Genomic DNA, 18746 nt, shown 5'->3' on the forward strand with positions numbered 1-18746 from the left:
TTATTTTTAGGAATTCAGCATGTAATTTTATAATGCATTTGCATTAATTTGGGAGAAAAAATGAAACCATGCTTTTGAAGAATATTGGCAAAAGTTGTCAAGTTAAGATAGAATTGCTTGTTAGGAAACTTTTTAATTGAATTGAGGAAATGACACAAGATTGGCATTGTTATTACTCAACCCTTGATTGTAAACAGTGCCAAAAATATAATAACACTGCCATGAAAGATTTATATTTTGTAAATAAAGCACACAGAAAAATATTAAACTACATTGGGAGATGCATTTTCTGCCAACATAATTAAGAATATTACAGTTAAATAATCAAATATTTGGATATTGAGGAATTTTATTCTCAAAGAGAAAAAAGGATACTTTATGTGGATTGAAAAATATTCCAGACACCAAAAATAAAAGCAGAGGAGGCATAAAGATTCCCTGATTTTACAGTTTGTGTAGAATAGCATCCATTGTATGAATAATGAATATTATGTCTATATTCATGACATTTTTTTAAAATCTGATAATAGCTTCAAGCTGTTTCTTTTTCTGAATATCATTAATATTAATATATAATCATTAAACTAATTAATGTGTATGTGGGCAAATCACTGTTCCCTATTCTATTGTGGATATATAATTGAAATTAAATGTTTCTCATTTGAATAAGTGAAATCTCTTCTTTGAACATTTTTCTTAGCCTGAAAAGAATATATATTAATGATAAGTAGCAACTTTGGTTTCTTTGTTATACGTTGGTGCAGATATTTTGGTTGGCATTGATTTTATATTAAAAATATATATATATTTTATCGCATTTTCAGTTTGATAAAAAGACTTCTACTATAATAACTATAATATACCCTTAAATATTTATCAGTACATATTCCTCTGTATTTTAGTAGTGGAATTATCTATGTAATTGAGTGAAAACAGGAGTAACCACAGATGCATAAAAAAACACATCTGTAAATTATTGCATTTGCCATCTTTTATTAAAGACTGCCTTGCAATTCTGTTTCACGGAAATGAATTACCAGTAGGTCTTTAGAGTATGCTAAGATGACGAAAAGGGAAGAAGGAATTCTTCTCAAAAGATTTGAATGTAGTCTTTGAGTTGTAGCTAAAGAATAGTCTGAACCCTCTATCTACTCATGTCATTCTTTAAAAATAGTGGAAAGAAATGGTTCCAAAAGCTATATTTTGAAGCTATTATCTGTTGTCAAGGGCAAACTAGCATTTTAAAGCTATTGCTTTGATATGGTTTAGCTTTGTGTCCCCACCCAAACCTCATCTTGAATTATAACCCCGAGGTGTTAAGGGAAGAACCTGATGGAAGGTGATTGAATCATGGGGGCAGTTTCCCCCATGCTGTTCTTGGTGAGTTCTCACACACTTCGTAAGCATCTGGCATTTCCCCTGCTCTCACTTCTCTCACCTGCCACCATGTAAGACTTGCCTGTTTTGCCTTCCACCATGATTGTAAGTTTCCTGAGGCCTCCCCAGCCATGTGAAACTGTGAGTCAATTAAACCTCTTTTCTTTATAAATTACCTAGTCTCGGGTATGTCTTCATAGCAGCGTGAAAATGGACTAATACATGCATTTTGGTAAAACAGTATGTTATTATCCAGTTTCATGTTTAATTAGTTTAATTTAAATTAATCAAATGCCATTTTGTATTAGGGGCCACAGGTAAGAGAAACTCACAGAAAAGGATTGTTGAATTTGTGGATTTTTAAAGGCCATTGCTGTCTCCTTTCCTGCCTCCTCTCTATATTTAGGCTAGTGACTACCAGAAAGAAATAGGAAGATAAAAGCTCACACTTAAAACAAACAAACAAACGAACAAACTTATTTTACAGTCTTTTATCAATGGAGTATGAGACAGCATATTTTTGCAAAGTACCGCTCCATTTCCTAATTCAAAAAGGAGATTTGGACACAGTTTTCCCTGGCAGCACTGAAATAAGAATTTGCTTTCTCTCAGTGGCCGTATAAAACAGTGAGAATAATGCAGTCAACTCTCTAAATTAATTTAAAGAAATATAATTGTAGATAGTTTGAAATGGTAAATATTCAAAAAATTAATTTTCCTTCACTTTGGACAGTTGTATGCCATGCTATTGTAGGTTAACCCTATTACCAGAAAGGGGGTCCCAATCCAGACCCCAAGAGAGGGTTCTTGGATCTCACACGAGAATTTGGGGCAAGTCCATAGAGTAAAGTGAAAGCAAGTTTATTAGTAAAGTAAAGGAATAAAGAATGGCTACTCCATACGCAGAGCAGCCCTGAGGGCTGCTGGTTGCCCATTTTTATGATTATTTCTTGTTACATGCTAAACAGAAGGTAAATTATTCATGAATTTTCTGGGAAAGGGGTGGGCAATTCACGGAACTGAGGGTTCCTTCCCATTTTAGACCATATAGGGTAACTTCATGATGTTGCCATGGCATTTGTAAACTGTCAGTGATGCTGGTGGTAGTGCCTCTTAGCATGCTAATGTATTATAATTAGCATATAATGAGCAGTGAGGATGACCAGAGGTCACTTTCCTCACCATCTTGGTTTTGATGGGTTTTGGCTGGCTTCTTTATGCAAGTTGTTTTATCAGCAAGACCTGTATCTTGTGCTGACCTTCTGTCTTATACTGTGATTTAGAATACCTGACCTCCTGGGAATGCAGCCCAGTAGGTCTTAGCCTCATTTTACCCAGCCCCTATTCAAGTTGGAGTTGCTCTGGTTCAGATGCCTCTGACAACTCCAGAGTAGAGAAGTGGTGAACAGAGGCCACAGAAATGATGAGCAGTCTACCTACCATGTGGAGAAGACACCTCAGAAATGGAGAGATTTTATATTTTTGTTGCATGATGGTAAACAGCTGTAACCACCAGCTTGGCCTTTTTGGCAGCTGGCTTTATTTAGCATTTTAAGCTTTAAGTTTGCCTCTGGTGCCTGGAATTGTTCAATTAAAATTTTAAATTTATTCTTATCATCCTCTAACACAAAGCTTACTTATACAATACCAAATCTAGCCTGAGACACTTGTTCTTGAATCGATTCTTTTTTAAATAATAAGTTCAGTATGAAATAAATCTCTGCTGAAATGAAAGAAAGCACCCATTATCATGGAACTGTGGTTCCTGAAAGCTACTTAGGTAGGTTAATAGTTGAGGCCTATTAATGGATATGCCATATTATTACATTAAAGCCATTCTCAATGAAGGATTAAAGTTGTTAGTTTTAAGAGTTGTTTTTGTTTTGTTAAGAACAGTTTGTACAATGATTGATTTTTGTCAAAGAATTGAAAATGCCATCTAATACAGGTAGGGAGAGGAGGTTGATTGTCAGTTTGATTTAAGTCTTAAAAGTTCATCAATTAGCAAAGAACAAGAAACTGTTTTTTTAAGAGGGCAAATTTTATGTATCTGTTTACCATGAAAGAGAACTTAAGAGAAGCTGTATTTCCACTTTTATCAAATTAGAACCTTTATGTCAATATTAACCAGAAAATCCTTAGTTACAAACTTGAAAACATCTATACTTAAGGACAGTTGTTCTGTTCATTCAAACAGAACAAGTTTCTTCCCAGGTTGAGAAGTCTTAGGTAACCTGTGACTCATGCTTTAATTTTAAACTACTTCTTCATATGGCCTTTCAGTTGAACTAAAAAGGCCTTAGATTTAGTAGAATGGACTCTTTGTGTTTCTAATTTGTGATAAGTTTGGCCTTTGTTAGTTGGTTAGAGGTTTCCTTGAATCATTCCAGGACTAGCCCTCTCTTTAGTCAAAGAGAAAACCTTTTCCCATCCTTAATAATTTTACCAGTTACTAGGTAAATCATTCCAGGACTAGCCCTCTCTTTAGTCAAAGAGAAAACCTTTTCCCATCCTTAATAATTTTACCAGTTACTAGGATATCATCCTTTTTTACTTTTAATCTTTAAAGAGTTTTTCTCAGTTATTCTTTCCAGAAAATCACATGGTGAGGTATCATTATTTTTAATTAACATAGAACTGAAGAAAAAAAGAGAGATTGTGTTAATTGGACAGTAGTGTTAGGGATCAGAATTTTCTGGATTTAATTACATTTGTATCATATTGTCATTTTGGTGATGCCAAATCTGTTTATTTAGCATAATTTCCTTTAAATAAAACTTTTAAGTTTAAAGCAATGAACACCTATTGCTGAAAAACCCAGAAAGTACAGAAAATCCAAAAATAAAAATACCACTTAAATATATATGTGCATATCTATATGTATTCTTTTTGGTCGGTTTTGAATGAATATATTTTTAAATATTAGAGTTTATTTCTTAGAGCAGTTTTAAGCTTATAGAAAAATTGAACAGAAAATAAGAGTTCCCCTATATACCCCCCACTCCCCCTACCCCCTGCACCAAGTGCCAGCCATGACTTATTCTCCCCAACCTTTTTAAGAGAGTCCCACTCTGTTGACCAAACTGGAGTGCAGTGGTGCGATCATAGCTCACTGCAGCCTTGAACTCTTGGGCTCAAGCAGTCCTCCCACCTCAACCACCGAGTAGCTGGGACTATAGGTGTGCTACCATGCCTTGCTAAGTTTTAAATTTTTTGTAGAGACAGGTCTTGCTATGTTGCCCGGGCTGGTCATGAACTCCTGGCTTGAAGCAGTTCTTTTGCCTGGGTTTCCCAGTGCACTGGGATTACAGGCATGAGCCACCATGCCTAACCCTCTATTATTAATATTTGTATTGGCATGGTATATTTGTCATAATCAGTGAAGTGATATTGATATATTATTAACTGAAATCCATAGTTCACATTAGGGTTCACTTTGTGCTGTACAATTCTCTTGCTTTTGCCAAATGCATAATGTCATTTATTCACTGTAGCATAATCATACAGAAGTTTCACTGTCCTAAAAATCTCATGCTCCACTTATTTATCCCTCCCCACCTGCCTTGCCCCTTAACCCCTGGCAAACTAATCTTTTAAATCTCCACAATTTTGCTTTTTCCAGATGTCATATAGTTGGAATCATACATTATGTGTTTTTTTTCTGACTGGCTTTTGTTTTTTTTAAGGTTCCTACATGTCTTTTTTGTAACTTTACAGCTCATTTCTTTTTATTGCTGAATTGTACTGTATTATATGGATGCATCACAGTTTATTTATCCATTTAACAACAGTTAGTTGGTGCTGGAACTGGACATCCACATGCCAAAAAAAAAAAAAAAAAAAAAAAAAGGCAGGGGAGTTGGGATTAGACACTGACCTTATACCTTTCACAAAAATGAACTCAATATGGATCATAGATGACATCTTGATTGCTTCCAATTTTTTGGCAATTTTGAATAAATCTAATGTAAATATTTGTGTGCAGGTGTGTGAGTGGGCATACATTTTCAACTCACTTGGGTAAGCTGTAGCAGTGAGATTGCTGGATCATATGGCAAAACTATGTTTAGCTTTGTAAGAAACTGCCAAATTATCTTCCAAAACGGCTGTCTATCTAGGCTGTTATAACAAAATATAAACTGGGTAGTTTAAACAACATACAGTTTTGGTGAGGGCCTTCTTCCTGGTGTTTACCTTCGCATCGTGGAGAGAGAAAATTCTGTGTCTCTTCCTCTTCTTCTGAGACCACCAATTCCATCATGGGAACTCTACCTTCATTATCTCATGTAACTTAATTACCTCCCAAAGGCCCCATCTCCTCATACCATCACACTGGAAGTTAGGACTTCAACATATGAATTTGAGGGGAGAGGAGGGACTCAAACATTCAGTCCATAACAGTGATTATACCATTTGGCATTTGCAGCAGCAATGAATGAGAGTTCCTATTTCTTCACATCTTCCCCAGCATTTGGTGTTGTCACTATTTCAGATTTTAGCCATTCTAATAGATATGTGGTAGTATTCTGTTTTAATTTGCAATTCACTAGTGCCATACAGTGTTGAGAATCATTTCATATGCTTGTTTGTCATCTGTACATCTTCTTTGGTGAGATGTCTGCTCAGGTCTTTTGCCCATTTTATAATTGGGTTGTTAGCTTTCTTACTATTAAGTTTTAAGGGTTCTTTTTATATTTTGGAAAGAGTTCTTATATATTTTGGTTATAAGAGTTCTATTTATATATAAAGTTGAGTTGAGTTGGATATAAGTTCTTTCATCTGTGGGTTTTCATTTCATTCTCTTAACTATGTCTCATAGAGCAGAGGTTTTTTGTTTGTTTGTTTGTTTTTTTGTTTTTTGTTACAGAGTCTCGCTCTGTCGCCCAGGCTGGAGTGCAGTGGTGCAATCTCAGCTCACTGCAACCTCTGCCTCCCGGGTTCAAGCAATTCTTCTGCCTCAGCCTCCCAAGTAGCTGGGACTACAGCCACATGCCACCGTGCCTGGCTAATTGTTGTATTTTTAGTAGAAATGGGGTTTCACCATATTGGCCAGACTGGTCTTGAACTCCTGACCTCGTGATCCGCCCACCTCGGCCTCCCGAAGTGCTAGGATTACAGGCATGAGCCACAGCACCCAGCCGAGCAGAGGTTTTCAACTTCACTGAAGTTTAACTTCTCAATTGTTTTATTTTATGGATTGTGCTTTTGGTGTTATATCTGAAAACTCATTGCCAAATCCACAGTCACCTAAATAATCTCCTGTGTTATCCTCTAGAAGTGTTACAGTTTTGCATTTTACATTTAGGTCTGTGATCCATGTTGAGTTCATTTTTATGAAAGGTATAAGGTCAATGTCTAGATTCTATACCCTGTTTTTGTTTGTTTGTTTGTTGTTTTTGCAAGTAGATGTCTAATTTTTCCAGCACCATTTGTTGAAATACTATCTTTTCTCCATTGGATTGCCTTTGCTCCATTTTCAGAGATCAGTTGACCATCTCTATGTGGGTCTTTTTCTGGGATCTTCTGTTCCATTCATCTATTTGTCTGTTTTCCAATATCACACTGTCTTGATTACTTTATATATAAAGTAATCTTCAAAAAAGTCTTTGAAGTCAGGTAGATCAGTCCTCTTACTTTGTTATTCTTCAATGTTATATTAACTCTTTTGGGTGTTCTGCCTTTCTGTATAAACTTTAGAATTAGCTTATTGATAGCCATAAAGTAACTTGTCAGGATTTCAATTGTGATTGTGATGAATTTATATATAAAGTTGAGAAAAATTGACATTGACAATATTGAGTCTTCTATCCATGAACCTGGAATAGCTCTTTATTTATTTAGATTTTCTTTGGTTTCTTTCTTCAGTTTTATAATTTTTGTCATATAGAGCTCATAATGTATTTTATTAGACTTTAACTTCTGTCATCCCTTTATCTCTCTCTCTCTCTCTCTCATTCTTGTGCTAATGTAAATGGTGGTGTGTGTTTTAAATTTCATTGCCCATTGGTGGTATATAGGAAAACATTTGACTTTTTTTTTTTTTTTGAAACAAGAGTCTCGCTCTGTCACCCAGGCTGGAGTGTAGTGGCGTGATCTTGGCTCACTGCAACCTCTGCCTCCCGGGTGCAAGCTGATAATCCTGCCTCAGCCTTCCGAGTAGCTGGGATTACAGGCGTGTGCCACCACACCGGGCTGATTTTCGTACTTTTAGTAGAGATGGGGTTTCACCATGTTGGCCAGGCTGGTCTCAAACTCCTGACCTCAGGTGATCTACCTGCCTCGGCCTCCCAAAGTGCTGGGATTACAGGCGTGAGCCACCACGCCCAGCCACATTTGACTTTTGTATATCAACCTTGTATCCTACAACCTTGATATAGTTACTTATTAGTTCCAGCAGGGGTTTTTTGCTGGTTTTTTTGGGGGGTGGAGGGGCAGGGGCAAGTTGCCAACTCTTGGGATTTCCTACATAAATGACCATGTCATCTGTGAACAAAGATAGTTTTATGTCTTCCTTCCCAATCTGTATACCTTTTCTTTCTTTCTTTTGTCTTATTCCATTGACTTCTGCTACTGACTGATTCCTTTTATTTTTAGTGTTACGTAGGAATGGTGAGAGGGGCCATCCTTGTGTTGTTCCCAACTTAGGAAGAAGGTATCAAGTTTCTCACCATTATGCAGTTTGCTAGCTGTAGGCTGTTTGTAGATGTTCTTTCTTGCTGAGAGTTTTTAATCATGAATAGGTGTTGGATTTGGTGGACTACTTTTCTTGCATCTATTGATATTATTAAATTATTTATCTCCTTTAGCCTGTTGATTTGATGGACTATCTTGATTGATTTTTCGATGATGAACTAGCACTGGATGTCTGAAATAAATTCCAATTGGTCATAGTGTATAATTCTTTATTTATTTATTTATTTATTTATTGATCATTCTTGGGTGTTTCTCGCAGAGGGGGATTTGGCAGGGTCATAGGACAATAGTGGAGGGAAGGTCAACAGATAAACAAGTGAACAAAGGTCTCTGGTTTTCCTAGGCAGAGGACCCTGCGGCCTTCTGCAGTGTTTGTGTCCCTGGGTACTTGAGATTAGGGAGTGGTGATGACTCTTAACGAGCATGCTGCCTTCAAGCATCTGTTTAACAAAGCACATCTTGCACCGCCCTTAATCCATTTAACCCTGAGTAGACACAGCTCATGTTTCAGAGAGCACTGGGTTGGGGGTAAGGTCATAGATCAACAGGATCCCAAGGCAGAAGAATTTTTCTTAGTACAGAACAAAATGAAAAGTCTCCCATGTCTACTTCTTTCTACACAGACACGGCAACCATCCGATTTCTCAATCTTTTCCCCACCTTTCCCCCCTTTCTATTCCACAAAACCGCCATTGTCATCATGGCCCGTTCTCAATGAGCTGTTGGGTACACCTCCCAGACCGGGTGGTGGCCGGGCAGAGGGGCTCCTCACTTCCCAGTAGGGGTGGCCGGGCAGAGGTTCCCCTCACCTCCCGGACGGGGCGGCTGGCCAGGCGGGGGGCTGACCCCCCCACCTCCCTCCCAGATGGGGCGGCTGGCCGGGCAGAGGGGCTCCTCACTTCCCAGTAGGGGCGGCCAGGCAGAGGCGCCCCTCACCTCCCAGACGGGGCGGCTGGCCGGGCGGGGGGCTGACCCCCCCACCTCCCTCCCGGACGGGGCGGCTGGCCGGGCGGGGGGCTGACCCCCCCACCTCCCTCCCGGACGGGGCGGCTGGCCGGGCGGGGGGCTGACCCCCCCACCTCCCTCCCAGACGGGGCGGCTGGCCGGGCGGGGGGCTGACCCCCCCCCCACCTCCCTCCCGGACGGGGCGGCTGGCCGGGAGGGGGGCTGACCCCCCGCACCTCCCTCCCGGACGGGGCGGCTGGCTGGGCGGGGGGCTGACCCCCACCCCCCTCCCAGACGGGGTGGCTGCCGGGCGGAGACGCTCCTCACTTCCCAGATGGGGTGGCTGCCAGGCGGAGGGGCTCCTCACTTCTCAGACGGGGCGGCTGCCGGGCGGAGGGGCTCCTCACTTCTCAGACGGGGTGGTTGCCGGGCAGAGGGTCTCCTCACTTCTCAGAGGGGGCGGCCGGGCAGAGACGCTCCTCACCTCCCAGACGGGGTCACGGCCGGGCAGAGGCGCTCCTCACATCCCAGACGGGGTGGCGGGGCAGAGGCGCTCCCCACATCTCAGACGATGGGCGGCCGGGCAGAGACGCTCCTCACTTCCTAGATGGGATGGTGGCCGGGAAGAGGCGCTCCTCGCTTCCTAGATGGGATGGCGGCCGGGCAGAGATGCTCCTCACTTTCCAGACTGGGCAGCCAGGCAGAGGGGCTCCTCACATCCCAGACAATGGGCAGCCAGGCAGAGACGCTCCTCACTTCCCAGACGGGGTGGCGGCCAGGCAGAGGCTGCAATCTCGGCACTTTGGGAGGCCAAGGCAGGCGGCTGGGAGGTGGAGGTTGTAGCGAGCCGAGATCACGCCACTGCACTCCAGCCTGGGCACCATTGAGCACTGAGTGAACGAGACTCCGTCTGCAATCCAGGCACCTCGGGAGGCCGAGGCTGGCGGATCACTCGCGGTTAGGAGCTGGAGACCAGCCCAGCCAACACAGCGAAACCCCGTCTCCACCAAAAAAATACGAAAACCAGTCAGGCGTGGCGGCGCGCGCCTGCAATCGCAGGCACTCGGCAGGCTGAGGCAGGAGAATCAGGCAGGGAGGTTGCAGTGAGCCGAGACGGCGAGATGGCAGCAGTACAGTCCAGCTTCAGCTCGGCATCACAGGGAGACCGTGGAAAGAGAGGGAGAGGGAGACCGTGGGGAGAGGGAGAGAGGGAGGGGGAGAGGGAGAATAATTCTTTTTATACATTGTTAGGTTTGATTTGCTAATATTTTGTTGAGGATTTTGCATCTACATTAATGAGAGCTATTAGTCTGTTTTCTTTCTCATGATGTCTTTATGTGGTTTTGGTATTAGTGTAATATTAGCCTCATAGAATGATTTAGGAAGGATTCCTTCTGTTTCTATTTTCTGGAAGAAATTATACAGAATTGGCATCATTTGTTCCTTAAATGTTTAGTAGAATTCACCAGTGAAACTATCTGAGTGTGGTGCTTTCTCTTTTGGAAAATTATTGTTTATTCTATTTCTTTGATCAATATAGAGACCTATTCAGATTACCAAATTCTCCTTGTGTGAATTTTGGTAGATTGGATCTTTCAAAGAATTGGTTCAATTCATGTTAGCTATCAAATTTGTGGGTACAGTGTTATCCATAATATTCCTTTATTATCGTTTTAACGTCCACGTGATTAGTTGTTGTGGCCTGTCTTTTATTTCTAATATTAGTAATTTGGGTCTTCTCCCCTTCTTTCTCAGTTAGCCTCACTAGAGGTTTCTTCATTTTACTGATATTTTCAAAGAACTAGCTTTTCAGTTTGTTAATTTTCTCTGTTGTTTTTCTATTTTCAGTTTCATTGATTTCTTCTGCTTACTTTGGATTTAATTTGTGCTTTTTTCTAGTTTGCTAATATGGAAGCTTAGATAATTGGGTTTAGCTTTTTCTTCCTTTTCATTATGTGTATTCAGTGCTGCGAATATACATTTAAGTACCACTTTTGCAGCGTTCCACAAATTTTAATGTTTTATTTTCATTTAGTTTAAAATATTTTTTATTTCTTGACATTTCTTTGATTCTTGTGTTATAAATAACACAAAGTGCTTCAGCTATCTTTTTGTTAATGATTTCTAGTTCCATTGTGGTTTGAGAGCATACTTTGTATGATATCTGTTCTTTTAAATTTATATTTGACCCAGCCATCCCATTACTGGGTATATACCCAAAGGACTATAAATCATGCTGCTATAAAGACACATACACTTGTATGTTTATTGTGGCACTATTCACAATAGCAAAGACTTGGAATCAACCCAGATGTCCAACAATGATAGACTGGATTAAGAAAATGTGGCACATATACACCATGGAATACTATGCAGCCATAAAAAATGATGAGTTCATGTCCTTTGTAGGGACATGGATGAAATTGGAAATCATCATTCTCAGTAAACTATCGCAAGAACAAAAAACCAAACACCGCATATTCTCACTTATAGGTGGGAATTGAACAATGAGAACACATGGACACAGGAAGGGGAACATCACACTCTGGGGACTGTTGTGGGGTGGGGGGAGGGGGGAGGGATAGCTTTAGGAGATATACCTAATGCTAAGTGACAAGTTAATGGGTGCAGCACACCAGCATGTCACATGTATACATATGTAACTAACCTGCACATTGTGCACATGTACCCTAAAACTTAGAGTATAATAAATAAATAAATAATTTGTTAAGGTGTGTTTTGTAGGCCAGAATATTGTTTAGCTTGGTGAAATGTTCCCTGTGAACTCGAGAAGAATGTGCATTCTACTGTGGCTAGATGAAGTATTCTATAAATCAATTAGATTGATGGTGCTGCTCAGTTCAACTGTGTCTTTACCAATATTCTCCCTGCTGGTTATGTCAATTACTGATAGACAGGTATTGAAGTCTCCAAGTATAATAGTGAATTTGTATATTCTCATTGCAATTCTGTAAGTTTTTACCTTATGTATTTTGACAGTCAGTTGTTAGGTGCATTATACATATTAGGTATAATTGTGTCTTCTTGGATAATTAAACCTCTGTCATTATATAATGCTGTCTATTGCTGATAATTTTTTTGTTTTTTGTTCATTTTTTTAAAAACTTTTTTATTCAATATTAGAGCTCAGGTAAGATATTGCTGATAATTTTTCTTGCTCTGAAATCTACTTTATTTGAAATTGGTAGAGCTACTCTAGCTTTCTTTTGATTTGTGTTAGCATGGTGTATTTTTCTCCAACCTTTTACTTTTAACCTATGTGTATATCTTCACATTTAAAGTGGATTTTTGTACCTAACATATAGTTGGTCTTCTTTTTTTTTTAAATCCACTTGGACAGTCTCTGCCTCTTAACTGGTGTATTTTGGGCTATTTACATTTAAAGCAGTTATTGATATAGTTGGGTTGTTTCTATAATTGTGGCTGTTTTCTATTTGTTGCCCTATTTTTGTGTCCTTTTTTATCTTCCTCTAGTTTTCTGCCTTCTCTGGTTTTAATGGGTCATTTTATAATGATTCCATTTTTTATTATGTCTTAGCATATCAGTTATAACTTCTTCTAGTGGTTGCCCCAGAGCTTGCAATATATATTTACCACAAATCCAAATCCACTTTCAAATAACTTTATATATCCCTTCATGGGATATATAATGCCAAGACCTTATAACAGAGTATTCCTAATTTCTCTCTCCCATCCCGTAAAGCATTACTATCATTCGTGTTAGTTATCCATAAGCTATGATCACCAAATACATTGTTGCTAGTATTATTTTGAATACACTGTAGGTAAATTAAGAACTTAAAAAAGATTTCATTTATACCTCTCTAACACTCTTCTTTATACATATTTGAGTTTATGATCTATATAATTTTCCTTCTCTCTGAAGCTAGCAACAAATTTCCTGTTTTGTTTATCTGAGAAATTCTTAATTATCCTTCAAAAGTGAAGGAGAAATACTGCAGAATGCAGAATTCTAAATGGGTGGTTTTATTCTTTCAAAGGAATTCAAACATCTTTATTCTATTCCACTCTCTTCTTGCTTGCATGATTCCTGAAGAGAAGGCACATGTAAATATTGTTCCTCTCTAGATAAGGTTCCTCCAGCCCAGCGTTTTTCAAAATTTTTTTCTGACTTTTTGCAGTTTGAATATGTTATTCTTAGGTGTAGTTTTATTTCTTTGGGGTTTTTTGTTGTTGTTTGTTTGTTTTTTGTATGGATACTTGATGTTCTCTAGGTTTTATAGATTTGTGGTTTTGTGTCTCTCATTAATTTTGGAAAATTCTCAGGCATTATTATTTCAGTAATTTTTTCTTTTTCTTTCTTCTCCTCTGGTACTCCCATTACATGTATGTCCACCTTTTGTAAATTGTCCCACAGTTCTTGGATATTCTGTTCCATTCTTTTAATTCAGTTTTGTAAGTTTATGTTCACATATCTTTAAGCTGATTCTTTCCTTGGTCATATCCAACCTACTACTGAGGCCATTAAAGGCATTCTTCATTTCTGTTATGGTGTTTTTTTATTTTTAGCATTTAAAAAAAATTTTTTTTCCTTGGAGTTTCCATCTCTCTGCCTGCATTACTCATCTATTCTTGCATGTTGTCCATTTGTTTATTATTAGGTTTTTAGCCTATTATTCATAGTTAAATTCCCAGTCTGTTACTTGCAAACTCTCTGTAATATCGGAGTCTGGTTCTGAGGGTTTGTATCTTCAGACTATATTTTTTGCCTTTTAGCATGCCTTGTAATGTTTTTATTGAAAGCCAAATGTGAGGTATTGGATAAAAAGGAACTGAAGTAGATAGGCTGTTAGTATGAGGTTTTGTGTTTATCTGGCTAGGAGTTGGGGTGTGCTTACTGTAGCCATAGCTATGGTATCAGATGCTAAAATTTCTTCTAGTGTCCTTGTTTTTGTCTCCCTTGTCTTTAGGCCTTTTAGAGACTCCTGAAATAGGCAGTTCTTTTAGCTGCAATTTCTCCTTATTGTTCATCAGTCTTATTGATGTGATGGTATGGTTTGTGGGGAGGAGGAAGTGTTCCGTAGTAATATCATTAGGTCTCAGTCTTTTAGTAAACCTGAATTGGGTATTTCTCTTCCCCCTGGTGGGTTAGGCTTTGATAAAACTCCAGTAGATTAAGCTCTGGTAAACTAGTTTTCCTTTAGGCCATGCGTTGTTAAGGATCTGTTGAGTATGAATTGAGCTAAAACGTGAAAATTCTCTGGAACTGAAGAAAAGTACAATTATGTTTTATTATAATGATAGTAATCATCACAAACAGCTATAAAAAGGAATATGAGGCCAGGTGCGGTGGCTCACGCCTGTTGCCTGTAATCCCAGCACTTTGGGAGGCCAAGGCAGGTGGATCACCTGCGGTCAGGAGTGAGGTGGGTGGATCACCTGAGGTCAGGAATTCGAGAGCATCCTGGCTAACATGGTGAAACCCCATTTCTACTAAAAATACAAACAATTAGCTGGGCGTGGTGGCACATTCCTGTAATCCCAGCTACTCCAGAGGCTGAGGCAGGAGAATCACTTGAACCCAGGAGGTGGAGGTTGCAGTGAGCTGAGATCACGCCATTCTGAGATCACGTCATTCCACTCCAGCTTGGACAACAAGAGCGAAACTCCATCTCAAAAAAAAAAAAGGAATATGAAAATAAGTTGGTTTTAAATGTAATGTTTAATTTTTGTAACTTCTGTTATTATAATGTGTAGAAATATTCCAAGTGAGATTCTTATAAATGAATTTCAATATTTATTTCAATATGAAATCTACAAAATTCTGAATGGAGGGACAGACATTCTAGCAATAATACATGCCTAGCATAATTTCATCTGGCTCTGTACTTCATATAAAAATTAACCATAACTTCTTACATTACTGAATAACTAAAATATAGATTCTATAATGTTTATCGAAATGCTCAAAGATCATTCTTTGGGTCCAGGAAATTAGAGGCAACTGCCTGGAAAAGTGTACAGTAAAATAATAAAATTAACAAAAACAAGAATAATATCTCTTTTCCTGTCATGTACTATTTCGGTAGTATATATTTATGAAATAGTTGATGGGTCTGAGGCAGAAGACCTATGTATTTCTGAAGTATTGTGCAAGCAGTGAGAAGAATAGAAGTGTCCATGTAGCTTAGCAAGTATTTATATTCCCTTTTTGTAGGTATTTGAGGTCTTAAACTATTATCTAAGAAACTGTTAAAGTTCTTAAATAAAGGTAGAACCTGAGTAATATTAACGTTTTGCATCGTAAAGTAATAAAACTGTGGCATTTGCAAATCTCAAAAATTACCAAGAATGATGCAGTTGTGATGCTGGATGGTAGGCTCATCTATTGTCTAGGTAAGCGATCATTTCCTATAGCAAACTGTGGGATCCCTGTTAGGTACGGCACGTTATATTATTAAGTTTATTTATTCAATTACGCATTTATTTTGTGCTTTTTATTTGCCTGCAATAGTGGTAGTTACTAAGGCAACAAAATGAATAGGTTTATGTTTATGTCCTTGTTCCAGACTTATGGGGGAGACAGATACACATAAAAACATGCAGTTTGCTAAATGCAATGATTGAGATACCTCTGAGAGTTAAATTTCTGAAAATTTTAATTCCTGAAAGCCAAAGATTTTCTGTACCACTTCTGTGTGGAGTACATATCAAATGTCGGGACCAGGGATACTAATTATTAACTCTCCACAGCCCATCTAATAGAATCTATTTGAGGAATACACCTCTCGCTGTCTTGTGTATGTCATGTAAACACTCCCTCCCTTCTACACACACACACACACACACACACACACACACACACACACACACACACACACACGCCCATGCAGAAACACATGCCCATTCACACCTGTTCCTAACCCTGGGAAACTAATCCTTTAGGCTGGGCTCTGCCAATCAAATTCCCTGTTTAGAGGTAATGTAACCTGGTAGTTGTGCTCTCCAACTCTGGAGTCTGACTGGTCTGGATTCTGACTCCTTCACTGGTCATCTGTAAGTGTACTTGCCCCATAGGATTGTTCTGGCAATTAAAAGAAATAATATTTCTAAGCATGTAGCACACTGCTCAGCACATGGTCTTAGTGTTAGAATCATTACAAGATAGGGACTCTAGTTTACATGGAGGTGAGACTAAGCTGTAAAATCTTGTAGACTGATGCTGATACCTACAAGGTGGGCTGTGAGCAAGAGATAAGTCACTTAGCAGAAAGGAGAGTATAGCAGACCCACCCAGACCCCACAGCCACATAGAAATGGGTAAGAATTGCAGATTTCTCATTGCGGGAAGATCAGTTATACTTTCTGCTCTTCATCTCTTGGCAATTCCATTGTATTCTTTCAGTAATCTTTCTTTTCATTTGAGCTAATTTGTCTAGGTTTTTATTCCTTACAACCAGTGAACCTTGACTAACACCATTCTCAAAGAATATTTACTGGTTTTTTTTATATAGGTTAGAGGAAATAATCATACGCAAGTTACGTTCCATGTAGTACTAACTTCTGAACTCCAGTATTCTTTATGAATTATATATTCTAGTCTAACCCAGCAGGTAGCATCATCAGGCATAAGTAATATTCTGTTTTTCCTCTTCTTATACTTTTCTGGTTTTTGTGGTATATCTACCTCTTATCTCCAATACTGCAAGGAAAAGAAATAATTTGTTGGTACACTAAGAAAATGCATCCTTTAGAGCCAAAATGTAACATAATCTGATTATGTTGTATATGTTGTTTCCTGTGCACTGAAGCCTAAGAAGAGCATTTTGGGTTATATCACTGATTCATTCCATTCACTACTCTGATTAACAGTGATTCTCAGTGACTTTGTAGGACATATGGTTGCCATCCATGACATCAAGGCCTGAATATTCATATTTTCCCCCAAACATTTCATCTCTGACTTTCATATTCTGTTGTGACAATTAGTTCTGTAAGAATTTTACATATTGTATAAAAGTTTTATTTTACATGCTCTTAAACTACTTTCTTTTCTTTCTTTCTGTTTTTTTTTTTTTTTTTTTTTTTTTTTGAGACGGAGTCTTGCTTTGTTGCCCAGGCTGGAGTGCAGTGGCTCAATCTTGGCTCACTGCAAGCTCCGCCTCCTGCGTACACACCATTCTCCTGCCTCAGCCTCCCGAGTAGCTGGGACTACAGGCACCCGCCACCACACCTGGCTAGTTTTTTGTATTTTTTTTGTTTTTAGTAGAGACGGGGTTTCACCGTGTTATCCAGGATGGTCTCGATCTCCTGACCTCGTGATCCGCCCGCCTTGGCCTCCCAAAGTGCTGGGATTACAGGCTTGAGCCACCACACCCAGCCTCTTAAACTACTTTCAATGAAAGGGTCCTAGTTCTAAGATTTAATGAACACATTCTTGAACCCCCATCCAAATATTTGGATTTTTGTAAGCTTTGAACATACTGCCTCTCAGCGTTCATCTTTTTAGATAGAAGAGAATCATCCTATTGTCATTTGGGGGGATCACCACTCTTTTAAATAAAATGATTTGTCTTCTTTATTAGACCATTCTTTGATCTGCAGTGGTTGAACCACACATATTTATACATAACACATCATGTATGTGTGTCCAACTTAGTGATCTGTTGAATTAACTTTAAAATCATTTTGCGTCCCCTCTAAAAGTTCTTTCTCTAATCTTTTTAATCTTTTATAAATTTCACTGACAAGAATAATGTTAATTTTAATGATAATCAGGGCTGAAATTTATTTCTGAAAACATAAAATATTTGTATTCATGTTGTGATTCATTTTGGATACCATCAGGTGTTATATCCCAAATTTTGGATCATATCATCAAGAGTAGATACTTTAATTTATAAGGTCTTCATGAGTAAACTGAAATTTTTTATCCCTAATTATGTCACTTAAGAAATTAAAGGAGGAAATATATTTAAGGACGGAAGCAAAATGTGTGTGCTTTAATGTTTAATGGTTGGAAGTAAGTGTTTAAATAGATAATAGGAAGAGGAGTTTACAAGTTTAATAAACCTCTTTGTGATAAATTTGCTCCTGGGTTTTCTGTCCCAAAGTAGGCTATTTTTCCTTCATGGAAAGCTTATTACGTAATTTTACATAATTATTAGAAAATACGACTGTCACAGGACAGCTGATTCTCATTCTCTAAGGGTATTATTAACTCTTAACCATGAGCTTTAAGATAACTAAAATGCACCCTAAATGTGTCATACAAATAAATTAAATTTGAGATAAGCTGTCTTTAGCTATTATTTTTCTTTCTTTGGGGATCCCAGTATGAACCCAAAATGACAATTTATGAAGTTGTTAAGCCACAATTCACATCCACTAATTGCTTTATATGGCTATACATGATGATGCATGTTTGAAGTTTATATCATTTATGTAAATTCCTAGATCTAGTACACATTATAGAGAAAAATCTGTATCTTACCCATAGGAACTTCTCTAGAGCCCCTCCTTTTATCATGCTATTTAAACTCACACCTGGAGTAGCCACCTCGCCTCTCCCTTTGTTATTCCATGAAGAGTCATTTTGAGTCTCACTGAAACTATGATAATGGAGTGGGAATGGAATAGGACTAAAGATTCTGGAATCAGAATGTCTGGGTTCAACTCCTGTCTCTGACTCCTAGCTGAGTGACCTTAAATAAGGTGCTTAACCTCAGCTATAAAATGGGAACAAGAGG

At 38.6% G+C, this 18746-nt stretch overlaps 1 protein-coding gene across 13 annotated transcripts in view, besides 2 other annotated features; it reads left to right on the forward strand.

Moving 5' to 3' along the window:
* Positions 1-18746, forward strand: part of FUT8 (fucosyltransferase 8) — a 387280-nt gene that overhangs the window by 326478 nt on the left and 42056 nt on the right. The gene's annotated exons all lie outside the window — the stretch shown is intronic.
* Positions 8207-8769: an enhancer, noted in NCBI's record as "OCT4-NANOG-H3K27ac hESC enhancer chr14:66158244-66158806 (GRCh37/hg19 assembly coordinates)". NCBI's record gives its function as "activates a minimal SCP1, AML or CMV promoter by ChIP-STARR-seq in naive H9 embryonic stem cells {active_cell/tissue: H9 hESC(naive)}" and the evidence as "EXISTENCE:reporter gene assay evidence [ECO:0000049][PMID:30033119]".
* Positions 9332-9893: an enhancer, noted in NCBI's record as "H3K27ac hESC enhancer chr14:66159369-66159930 (GRCh37/hg19 assembly coordinates)". NCBI's record gives its function as "activates a minimal SCP1, AML or CMV promoter by ChIP-STARR-seq in primed H9 embryonic stem cells {active_cell/tissue: H9 hESC(primed)}" and the evidence as "EXISTENCE:reporter gene assay evidence [ECO:0000049][PMID:30033119]".

The sequence above is a fragment of the Homo sapiens genome, chromosome 14, assembly GCF_000001405.40.
Source record: "Homo sapiens chromosome 14, GRCh38.p14 Primary Assembly".
NCBI classification, from domain to species: Eukaryota; Metazoa; Chordata; class Mammalia; order Primates; family Hominidae; genus Homo; species Homo sapiens.